At 47.2% G+C, this 12,225-nt stretch overlaps 1 protein-coding gene across 4 annotated transcripts, besides 1 other annotated feature; it reads right to left on the bottom strand.

The window, feature by feature from the left end:
- On the bottom strand, window positions 3,883-10,142 carry TMEM216 (transmembrane protein 216). 4 transcript variants are annotated; one of them, NM_016499.6, is made up of 5 exons: window positions 10,050-10,142; window positions 9,397-9,498; window positions 8,753-8,845; window positions 4,754-4,955; window positions 3,883-4,468 (listed from the first exon to the last, which is right to left on the bottom strand). In NM_016499.6, exons 3-5 carry the CDS (start codon window positions 8,796-8,798, stop codon window positions 4,453-4,455), a joined length of 264 nt encoding a protein of 87 aa, NP_057583.2. In that variant the 5' UTR covers window positions 8,799-8,845; window positions 9,397-9,498; window positions 10,050-10,142; the 3' UTR covers window positions 3,883-4,452. The 4 variants fall into 4 exon arrangements, with proteins under 4 accessions (NP_057583.2, NP_001317214.1, NP_001167462.1 ...); NM_001330285.2 differs by having other exon boundaries at window positions 3,883-4,459; NM_001173991.3 differs by having other exon boundaries at window positions 10,064-10,142.
- Window positions 9,416-10,377: an enhancer, noted in NCBI's record as "H3K27ac-H3K4me1 hESC enhancer chr11:61159824-61160785 (GRCh37/hg19 assembly coordinates)". NCBI's record gives its function as "activates a minimal SCP1, AML or CMV promoter by ChIP-STARR-seq in primed H9 embryonic stem cells {active_cell/tissue: H9 hESC(primed)}" and the evidence as "EXISTENCE:reporter gene assay evidence [ECO:0000049][PMID:30033119]".

Here is a 12,225-nt window from a genome sequence, read left to right as displayed (position 1 = left end):
TCTTTTATACTGCATTGTATTTTTTTCCTTTTGTAACAAAATATTTTTAAATAATAAATGGGGTGTGAGCTGTTTTATGGATTCTGCATTGAATAGATTTGTTGAGGTGTCTGGGGCATGGGCATGGGCTGATGTAGACACTCGAATGATGGTGAAATGCCAAGTTCTTAGCTAGGATTGCATGTCAGGCAGTGATACATGGCTTTAGTTGACTGTGGAAAGCCTCCTAAGAGACCTCTAATGCAAACCTTTGGAGGCATCCCTTAAGGTTTAGCTTTTTTCCTTGGCCATCTAAACAGCTGGTTAAAGAAAACTTCTAAGTTATCCTTTACCCTTCAAGATTCCTAAGACTTATTTTCAGAGCAAATGTTCTACCTTGTGCAGTTAAATTCCAGTATCAAGTTCAGGAAGGGAAGAATCCTTTGATAGGAGTTAGAAGATCTGACTGGTAGTGCCTAGTTTACCACCTGTTTATCTAAATATGGACAAGCAGTGTAACCCTGGTCTTTTTCACCTACAAAATGAAAATAATAGCTGTTGTGCCTTCTACACAGGGATGTTTTAAGAGTCAGAGATAACAAATGTGAATGTTTTGTAAACTGCCTAAATATGAGGAAGTACATAGTGTGGGTGATCTTGGGGCTCCAGAAAAGCTTTTGGCTTTAAAAAGCCAGGTGAAGGAGGGTTCAATGATTTAAAAAAAAAGTGAACCACAGACCAGATGATAATGTGTATGGTACCAGGAATGGCAAGATCACTGTAAAAACAAGCTTTAGGAGAAGAGATTCCGTAGAGGGTCTATCAAGATGTGAAACTTAAGGAAAAAAAATAGTTGGAATACCTTAGAATGTAAAACTATTACTTTCAAATTGGGTTCCATGGTAACCCACATCTTAGTTGTACGTCATGCTTGCTAAGACACCTGTTCCTGTGCTGTAGCAATCTCTACATAAGGTCTAGGTGTCTGGTTTTTATGCCCCAGATGACTTGTAAACTAAATTGTGAGGACTAGTAGCTTAGAGGCAAAATTCAGCTTCATCTAGGAGGTACCATGGTGGTGTAGAAAAGGAAGGATTTTATGGTTACTCTAGGTTCAAATCCCAGTTCCATTTCTAAGCTGAATGCCCTTGGACACATGACTTAACATCTGATTAATTTCCTTCTGCCTCATAGGATCATTATATGAATGAAATACACTTTGCCAGGCACTGGATGATTAGTAGTCTCCACAAGCTGCTGCCATGGTATGGAGCTAGAATCAATCTGCCCTAAATGCTTCCTAAACTGGGCGAGACCACTGCAGTCACTTGCTGGTTCTAGCCATGAGTGTGAGTAGCTGAGCAGGCCTCTGCCAAGCTTATGACCAGGGCCTGTTGCTTTGCTCAGTTCTCTCCACTGTCCCAGAATTTTGGTACCTCCAGCTCTGTGTGGACTGTAAAGCAGCTTCCCTTGACTCTAGTGAGCACAGCCTCTGGCCACGATAAATCTGAAAGACTAGCTACACTGATTTCTGTGATCCCAAAATGTTGGGATCACAAGTGTAAGCCACTGTGCCAGGCCTCCACTGCCTCAGTTTCTGTTGTATGTCCTAATTATGTGACTAACTGCATCTACACAGGTGGTTCCAACAAGCATCAGGAAAAATGAACATTTATCACGCAACCCACAGGAAGCACAATGCACTAAACTTCCACATAACCACCCAGTAAATGAGAGGACTTCCTATTCCTAATCACAGCCTCATTTTCAACCATCATCCTCATTCTCAAGTATGAGGAAATGGAATTTCCTTGATCCAGACAGACTCCTAAGGCAAGATTTCTAGTTCCACCTGTTAATAACCAGATGTGTGGTGCTGGTTATGTCACTTCTCATCTCTAAGCCTGCAAAGTCGGGGGTAAGACTTGGTTCATCTCTAAAATAGGTCTTTAAATTCTAATGGATTTTATAAGGCACCCTTCAACTTCCAATTGAGCCTTCCAATCATTTATATTGCTGTGGCAGTGAGCTTAACCAGTGAACCTCTAAATAGGCCATACAGAATGGGCTCTCTTCCAGTTTGATACCAGCGATTTCTTCAACACAGGGAGAAAGTAGCAGAAAATTGGTATTAGTGGGATTTGTAATTATCAGGGCAGTTCCTATTGAAGGTTTTGTTACTGTGTCATGGCTGATTAGACCTGTCTACTCTGGTTTTTGGATAGTCCCCAAGGGCAACTGGGAGGCAAGGGCACAGAAGGGGTAGGAAACAAGAAAAAACATCAGTGCTTTGGACAGCAGAGCCCCTCAGGATAAGAATGAGCTTGATCATAGAAAGTAAGAGTTAAAGCCAGCATAGAATGCTTAAAGTTACATTTTACTTCGAGTAAGAGCAGATAATCTAGGATTCATCTGAAAACAGAAGAGCCTCAAGGTTTTCTGAAGTGGATTCCGTCATGGCTCCTCGTGGCTTCTTGGAATTAAAAAACATGGCCACTACCAAGGAAATGAGGAATAATTTTAAAGATGCTTACTTGGAGAAAGAAAGTATACATTGATCTAGAGTGACAGTTCTCCAGCTTAAAAAAAAAAAAAAGTGTTCCTTTTATGTTGACTCAAAATTTTATTTTTGAGACAGGGTCTCACTCCTGCACAGGCTGGAGTACAGTGGTACAAACATAGCTCACTACAGTCTTGACCTCCTGGGCTCAAGCTATCCTCCTGCCACAGCCTCCTGAATAGCTGGGACTACAGGTGCGCATCACCACACCTGGCTTGTTTTTAAATTTTTTGTAGAGACAAGGTTCTCACCATATTACCCAGGCTGGTCACAAATTCCTGGAATCATGCAATCCTCCTGCTTCAGCCTCCCAAAATGTTGGGATCACAAGTGTAAGCCACTGTGCCAGGCCTCAAAATACTAAAATAAATGACCAAAAAAAAAAAAAAAAAAACATCAGCTGGTTGCAGTGGCTCACACCTATAATCCGAGCACATTAGGAGGTAGAGGCGGGAGGATCGCTTGAGCCCAGGAGTTACAGACCAGCCTGAGCAACAAAGACCCCATCTCTACAATAAATACAAAAATTAGTGGGCTGGGCACGGTGGCTCATGCCTGTAATCCCAGCACTTTGGTAGGCCAGCAGGCAGACCACGAGGTCAGGAGTTTGAGACCAGCCTGGCCAGCATGGTGAAACCCCGTCTCTACTAAAAATACAAAAAAAAATTAGCCCGGCATGGTGGTGCACACCTGTATTCCCAGCTACTCGGGAGGCTGAGGCAGAAGAATCACTTGAACCCAGGAGGCGGAGGTTGCAGTGAGCCGAGATCATGCCACTGTACTCCAGTCTAGGTGACAGAGCGAGACTCCGTCTCAAAAAAAAAAAAAAAAAGCCAGGCATGGTGGTGTGTGCCTGTAGTCCCAGCTACTTGAGAGGCTGATGTGGGAGGATCACGTGAGCTAGGGAGGCAGAGGTTGCAGTGAGCCAAGATCATGCCACTGCACTGCAGCCTGGATGACAGACTGAGACACTGTCTCCAAAATTAAAAAAAAAAAAAAAGTTAGTTTAGAATATGCTTCTTCCAGTTTCACATGGCCCACTGGAAAAAAGCTAACAATTATCTGTAAGAGGAGTGAGACAAGATGCTGACTTTGGGGCAGAGTGAAGCAAATAAGCAGTCTTTTGCATGACGAGAGACTTGAAGATACAGAGGATGGCAGTGCATTTAGGGTTTAATTTAGGCTGCAGCTTGGGGAAGAAAATCAGTGGTCATCACTGCCTTTTGTCCACACTGTATCACTAAGCAAAGCTCCTGAGAACAAACTGCTGGGATAGTCATGACCCTCTCTTGGAGTGGATGAATTCTAGGGACAGGTGCCATAAGGAAAGGCTGCAACCCCCACAACAGAAAATACATATTTATTATAAAATAAAGTTAGTTTCATGAAGAGAGTAGAAAAATAACACTATGAGCTACTAAAAAAGTTGTGGAACTCAGTCTCCGAGGATTGGGGTGAGAGGCTTTCACATCACTCTGGAAACCCACCAACATGAGGCTCTCCGTGCTCATGTGGGACAGGTATAGCACAGCTCGTACAGGGAGCATGTGGCTCAGGTCCTGCTTGAAGCCCAAGGAGCCTAGATGGTCCACACGAGATGCTCTGGCCACGGTGATCAAGGAGGAGAACTTGAGGTCAGCAGGGGACTGGTTCTGAGAAGGGGCAGGATGGGAATAACCTTGCCCCTCCCTATACTGGAGTGTAGAAGAGTCTCTTGGGCTGATGGTCCTGGTTTAGAAGATGGTACCCACTGGCCTTATGCTGAGTTGCTTGCCCAAATGTCTGTGCTGAAGAAAAGCCACACAGCCTTTCTCAGGACAACTTGCCCCACCAATTCTCACTGGTGTGGCTAAAGTACCAGAAGCAATATGTGTGGTGTCAGCCTGATGGGCTGCTGGCTGAAATTCTGTACTTCAAATCCTGTCCATACGATGGCAGAAAGAAAGAAAATGTTAAAAGACCAGTGAATGAGAGCAGCTGGCCTCGACTGTTCTATATTCCAAGCCTCCTGGCCCCAAAGGATAGGGAGAGTATCTTCCCTGAGTGGGAAACGATCTACCTACCCTAAACAGGAAAGGCAATCCCATAGCCACCCCTTCCTCCCTCTAGAAAAAAGTCTTCTAGACCCCTTAGGCTTCAGAAGAATACTGAATCCCTCCCTGGGATGGGAACCCAACCCTCTAGTGATGAGAAATGGTCCCTCAGCAGCAGTACCTGGAGAAAGCAGCCAAGGTGAGCACCTCAAGTAAAAGCTCTGAGCCACAGAAGAAGAGCAAGATGCCATTCATGATGGCTTCCAGGCGGAGTACGTAGGTCTGCAGCAGCAGGTAATAGGAGGCCATCATGGCAGATGGGAAGGTCAAGGCCACGCTAATACTGAGCGGCATCTTTCGCTGGCAGAGGTTTCCCTTTGTACCTGTCAGACACAGCCCATGGAGTCATCTCCAAATGGTCTGCTTTTCCTGGCCCAGGGGAAAGGCGTGGGAGATGTGATGGAATGGCAAGGCACAAAAAATAATCCTGAGTGGGGGTGTGCAGATTTATAAATGGGGTCCCACTGTACTAAAAGTTTGAGGCTTAGGAGAGCTACAAGATTAAAGTCACTTAATCCAGAGGTCCTGCTTCCAGTCTGGTTCCCACTCAAGGGACAATGGGATCTTTATTTGGGAAAAACAAAATTTTTAATTATAAAAATAATATATAATCATTTAAAAATTTTCAATGGCCGGGTGCAGTGGCTCACACCTGTAATCCCAGCGCTTTGGGAGGCCAAGGCAGGTGGATCACAAGGTCAGGAGATGGAGACCATCCTGGCTAACACGGTGAAACCCCATCTCTACTAAAAATACAAAAAAAGTAGCCGGGCGTGGTGGCGGGCGCCTGTAGTCCCAGCTACTCGGGAGGCTGAGGCAGGAGAATGGTGTGAACCCGGAAGGTGGAGCTTGCAGTGAGCAGAGGTCACGCCACTGCACTCCAGCCTGGGGAACAAAGCAAGACTCCGTCTCAAAAAAAAAAAAAAATTTCAACACAGAAAATAATTTTTGAGACTATAGAAAGTGAAAGACCTCCATGTCCCTACACCCTGAAGATTATTAGAGAATGACGTGTATTGTTTCAGATTTTTTATACGTATATATTCACATATTACTATTTATTATTATAAAAATAGAAGCATACCCTACATCCTGTTTTGCAACTTATTTTTCCCCCACAAACATTTTTCCACACACATAGCTACCTTAATTTTTTTTTTTTTTTGATAGTGTTTAATTCTGTCACCCAGGCTGGAGTGCAATTGCATCATCATAGCTCACTGCAGCCTCGAACCCCTGGGCTGAAGGGATCTTCCCACTATAGGTACACGTCACTATGCCCAGCTAATTTTTTTTTTTTTTTATTGAGACGGAGTTTCTTGTCACCCAGGCTGGAGTGCAATGGAGCGATCTCGGCTCACTTCAACCTCCACCTCCCAGGTACAAGCGATTATCCTGCCTCAGCCTCCCAAGTAGCTGGGATTACAGGTGCCCGCCACCATGCCCAGCTGATTTTCGTATTTTTTAGTAGAGACAGGATTTCACCATGTTAGCCAGGCTGGTCACGAACTCCTGACCTCAGGCAATCCGTTCGCCTCGGCCTCCCACAGTGCTAAGATTACAGGCGTGAGCCACTGCACCTGGCCTTAACTGTTCTTTTTAATTTTTTTTAATTTTTTGAGACAGAGTCTAGCTCTCTCGCCAGGCTAGAGTGCAGTGGTGCAATCTCGGCTCACTGCAACTTCCGCCTCCCGGGCTCAAGTGATTCTCCTGCCTCACCCTCCCGAGTAGCTGGGATTACAGGCACGTGCCACCACACCCAGCTAATTTTTGTATTTTTAGTAGAGATGGGGTTTCATCATGTGGGCCAGGATGGTCTCGATCTCCTGAACTCGTGATCTGCCTGCCCCAGCCTCCCAAAGTGCTGGGATTACAGGCGTGAGCCACCATGCCCAGCAACTGTTCTTTTTTAATGGTTATATACAAGTCCGTTGAATCAGTGCCGTAACTGATTTAACAATCCCGTATGGACAGATGTTTAGTTTGTTTACAGTGTTTTGATGTTACCAAATTTTTGGCAATAAACATTCTCATATAGCTATCTTCGCATATCTGTGGAATTTTTTTTTAATCTAGTTTTAGAAGTGAAATTGTTGGGGCTAACAGTAAAACATTACACAGTAATAACTACTACCCAAGAGTTGTACTAAATTAAATTACCACAAAAGTGTATAACAACCTGTTCCCCACACCCTAATACTGGGTGTTATAAATCTTTCTTTGCCAGTCTGATGGGTAAAAAATGTTACTTTGTTTCAATTTGATTTTTATTAGCGAGTTTGAGCATCTTGTCAAGTTTTACTGGTTCTCTGTAATTATTTTTACATGAACTGCCATTAATGTCCCTTACCAATTTTTTTTTTTTTTTGAGTCTCACTTTGTCGCCCAGGCTAGAGTGCAGTGGGCGATCTTGGCTCACTGCAACCTCTGCCTCCTGGGTTCAAGCGATTCTACTGCCTCAGCCTCCCAAGTAGCTGGGATTACAGGTGCGCGCCACCACACCCAGCTAATTTTTGTATTTTTAGTAGAGACGGCCACCATGTTGGCCAAGCTGGTCTCAAACTCTTCACCTCAAATGATCCACCCACCTCGGCCTCCCAAAGTGCTGGGATTACAGACGTGAGCCACTGCGCCCAGCCAATTTTTAAAGTTATTTTGTTTTTTCCTTAGTGATTTATGTGAGCCTTCTTTTATCCTTTCTTATATGTTGCAAGTAATTTTGTTCCTAAGTTTGTGCTTTAACGTTGATTTCAGGGATGACATATTCTAACAAATAAGGGTTTTGCTCTGTATTTCTGGGGTTATAAAACTTGTCCTACAGGCCAGGCATGTTGGCTCACGCCTGTAATCCCAGCACCTTGGGGAGGCCAAGGCAGGAAGATTGCTTGAGGCCAGGAGCTTCAGACCAGCCTGGGCAACAAGGCAAGACACTGTCTCTACAAAAAACACAAAATTAGCCAGGTATGATGTCGCACACCTGTGGTCCCAGCTACTCAGGAGGCTGAAGTTGGAGGACTGCTTGAGCCCAGGGCTTCAAGGCTGCTGTGAGCTATGATCGTACCACTGTACTACAGCCTAGGTGACAGAATGAGACCCTGTCTCAAATAAATAAATGTTTAAAAAACAAAATCTGGCCAGGTGTGATGGCTCACACCTATAATCCCAGCACTTTGGGAGGCCAAGGCGGGTGGATCATGAGGTCAGGAGATCGAGACCATCCTAGCCAACATGGTGAAACTCTATCTCTACTAAAAATATAAAAACTTGCCGGGCATGGTGGCAGGCGCCTGCAGTCCCAGCTACTCAGGAGGCTGAGGCAGGAGAATTGCTTGAACCCGGGAGGCGGAGGCTGCAGTGAGCCGAGATGGTGCCACTGCACTCCAGCCCAGGTGACAGAGTGAGACTCCATCTCAAAAAAAAAAAAAAATCCAACCAGGTGCAGTGGCCCACATTTGTAATCCCACCACCTTGGGAGGCCGACACAGGCAGATCACAAGGTCAAGAGATCGAGACCATCCTGGCCAACATGGTGAAACCCCGTCTCTATTAAAAATACAAAAATTAGCTGGGAGCAGTGGTGCACGCCTGTAATCCCAGCTACTCAGGAGGCTGAGGCAGGAGAATCGCTTGATCCCGGGAGGCAGAGATTGCAGTGATCCGAGATCGTGCCATTGCACTCCAGCCTGGGGACAGAGTGAGACTCCATCTCAAAAAAAAAAAACAAAAAACTCCTACAGAGATCCTTATTCAGAGAATTGTTAGGGATCTTAGTACTGATCTGTACAGGATACACTGCCTGCCCTGACGTGGAGTTACAACTGAACCTATTCCCCTAAGAATACTAGTGAGAAGAACCAAGCACTCTTCTTGCAGTTAGGCAGCTGGGAAGGAATCATCTAATATCCCATTCTATTGCCCATCTCTAGCCTTACAGAGCAACAAACAGGTAAATCTTGACCCAATGTATGAAGCAGCAACTTGAAACTTCAGAGACGGAGTAATAGGATATACAGATCCAGTCTATGATAGTCAACCTAGGTTATGTACTTTTCTTGTTAATCAAGTTACAGATACCAGCTTGTCTCATAAGGAGTGGAAATATTCTCTGGACAACACTTACCAAAAAACAGGCGAATTACTTCAATTCCAAGATAAAGGAGGAGCATCACCACATCCAGTACTAGGTTAGCTGTTGGATATGGTAGCAGGACACCTGCCAATACAAAAGCCAGAGTTTGCAAACAGCATATAACAGCACCCACAAGAACTGCCACACACTTGGGAAAAAAGAGGACATCAGTCTCAGCTTTCCATGAACTAGTTAGTGAGATGTGGGCATTATTACAGCAGCAGGATACATAAACTCACAATGCGACTCAGGCTCATTATTATGGTGTTTTACTCCTAACTCCAAAAGTCTCTGGGGACTCCACTCTCCAAAATGATTGGATGTACATGGGTACACAGGCCACTGAATAGTTTCTAAGGGTCACCAGTGGGCTTACAGTGGAGCTCAGCAAAGAGCAGTGATGTGGGCAGAGTCAGAATGGAGAAGCCCACATTTCTCAAACTCAAGAAATTCTTGCTGAGGGGCTGCCTATGGAATCATACTCAAAGAAGCCATCTGATGAGGAGGCCTGCCTTGCAGCGACAAAGAACTGCAGGGGGCAGAAAAGAACGGAAAATAAGAAGGTTCTTGGTAGGAATTGGCTCTGAGCTGAAGTGGGGAAGGGATGCTGTCGTCAAGCCCCAAGCCTTCCTTACCTTTATACAGAAATATGAAAAGTTCCAGCAGGAAATAGGTAGCATTATACCACCCGTTCAGAAAGAACAGGATTTCCAGCGGGGTGGAGGACAACCGTTTACCTGAAAAAGGAGCACAGAGAAGTGGGATGGGCCGGAAGGCAGCTCCCTCTCTGCTCGTATGGGTTGGTGTCTAACTTTGGGGAAACTAGACGCTGCAACTAATGGGACCGGCCACTCAGGGGCACTTCTGGTTGCTGATAATGAGGGGGCGAGGGTACGGGGGTGGGAGTGGAGGGGGCTTCCCTCCTTTCCTAGGAATCACCGTGAAACTCGACTCTTCGGCTTCAGGAATAAAAGTCAAGAGGTAACTCGCAGCTGACAGACATCTCAAAGATCTCACTCTGTCACTATTTGGGAGGGGAAGTTGGGGCGCAGAGACCAACAGATTCGCACCTGAGCCAGCCTAGAAGTGGCCCAGCCAAGGATCTGCGTTTATTTGAGCTGTGCACCTTGAGACCTTCAGGCACCCAGGGTGGGCGGGACCGCGGAAGCCGGCTTTGGACCAGGGAGGCGCGACGTCCCTAACGCTAGAGAATGGAGGGTTTAGGTCAAGCTCTGGGACAGAGGTGGGAGGGAGCGACCGAAGGGAAAGGGACCAGCGACTCACACACCTCCGGAATCTCACCTCGCGGCGCCATCTTCAGTCCCCGTGGCAGCATACGCTGCCACAGCGGCTCCCGGAGCAGCGCGGCGCTGCCGGAAACAGGGACGAAGCGGCCTGGGTTTCCGGCCCCTCTGCCCGCCCGCGGCACTCTGTGGTCACCCGGAGCTGGACGAGCTCGGGCCTGGCCGCAAGTGGCCCTCGCTCGGATGTCCCCTCTCCAGACCTAAGGGATAACGGTGACCACCCACGACGCCGTCGTCTGCAGGACCTCAGGGGTGCGGGGGAGGACCTTGGAGGCTCTCAGACTACCGGGCGTTGGGCGGAAGTGGCCAGTTGTGATAGTGTTACCAGGAGATTGGCAAATAGGTCCTACTCCCACGATTCTCTTTTTTCAACGGAAGACAAGAAAAGGTGTGAGCGACGGATCTCTGCAAATGCAGGGTGGAGTTAGCATTGGTCTTTTCTGCGGCCGATTTACCTACCAGGTAGAGACACGAAGGAAATAGAGCGTCCTTTCCAGGAACACACATAAATAAAATGAAACGAGTCACCACGCGATCCATAAAGTGGTGCAGTGGGAGCTGAGAGGACAAAGTGCTCCCAGGTGGAAATCTAAGTTAGTTTCCAAGAGACGGCCTGTGAGCTGGGCTTCAAAGCCTGCCTGATCCGGATTTGCAGCGGTAAAAGCGTGTTGCTGGCCGGGCTTAGTGGCTCACGCCTGTAATCCCAGCACTTTGGGAGGCCGAGGTGATGGATCACCTGAGGTCAGGAGTTCGAAATCAGCCTGGCCAACATGGCGAAACCCCGTCTCTACTAAAAATACAAAAATTAGCCGGGCGTACTGGCGCGCGCCAGTAGTTACAGCTACTTGGGAGGCTGAGGTAGGAGAATCGCTCGAACCCGGGAGGCGGAGGTTGCAGTGAGCTGAGATCGCGCCACCGCACTCCAGCCTGGGCGACAGTGAGACTCTGTCTCAAAAAAAAAAAAAAACAGAAAACTGTGTTGCTGCAGGCAGGGGAGTGCAAAAAGAAGGGTTTTGAGAGGACTCAGGTTGACTTGACTTGGCTGTTAGCCCGTTGTCAATCAGGGTAAAGCAGGAAACAGATGGCACGCTCCAACCAGGTAGCCTGAGGAAGGTGACTAAGCTTTATTTTATTTATTTCATTTTATTTTTGAGACGGAGTTTTGCTCTTGTAACCCAGGCTGGAGTGCAATGGCGCTATCTCTGGTCACTGCAACCTCCGCCTCCTGGGTTCAAGCGATTCTCCAGTCTCAGCCTCCCAAGTAGCGGGGATTACAGGTGCCCCCCACCACACCCGGCTAAATATTTTTGCATTTTTAGTAGAGACGGGGTTTCACCATGTTGGCCAGGCTGGTCTGGAACTCCTGACCTCAGGTGACCCGCCCCCCCCCCCCCCCCCCCCCCCCCCCCCCGCCTCCCAAAGTGCTGGGATTACAGGTGTGATTAATGCCCCCGGCCAAGAGTGACTAAGCTTTAAGCAAAGTGCTGTACCCCTGGCTAATTGGGATGTGGTGGGGCGGTAATTGTTACTTCTAGGCTTAAAAGGGAAGGGCCTGAAACAATTCCCTGAAGCTGGAGAGTAATATGTGCATAGAAGGCCTCCCACTAGGAACCCTCACACTCTAGGAGGCTAGTGGATAAATATAGCAGGGACCTCCATTTCCCTTCTCCCATCTCTGATCTCTGCTTATGTCTCCCGCTGACACAACTTAACTGCAAGCTGGAGGGCAAGGAAGCCCTTTAGGGTAAGTAGGAAAGCGCAGAGCACAGAGGTTAAGGTGGAAAGGAATCCAGATCCTGCTTCCCCATCTTCGCTGCCTGCAAGACAAGAGACATTAGAAAAGTTCCTGCTCTGAGCCTGATATGGAAAGAAAGTGGGCCAGCTGCACCTGGCGCGGTGGCTCACACCTGTAATCCCAGCACTTTGGGAGGCTGAGGCGGGTGGATCACTTGAGGTCAGGAATTCAAGACCAGCCTGACCAACATGGTGAAACCCCATCTCTACTAAAAATACAAAATTAGCCGGGCATGATGGCACATGCCTCTAATCCCAGCTACTTGGGGGGCTGAGGCATAAGAATCGCTTGAACCTGGGAGGCGGAGGTTGCAGTGAGCTGAGACCAAGCCATTGCACTCCAGCCTGGGCAACAAGAGTGAAACT

The sequence above is a fragment of the Homo sapiens genome, chromosome 11 (assembly GCF_000001405.40).
Source record: "Homo sapiens chromosome 11, GRCh38.p14 Primary Assembly".
In the NCBI taxonomy this organism is placed as follows: Eukaryota; Metazoa; Chordata; class Mammalia; order Primates; family Hominidae; genus Homo; species Homo sapiens.
The sequence above is the reverse complement of the archived record's forward strand: the minus strand, read 5'-3'. Positions and strand labels throughout refer to the sequence as shown.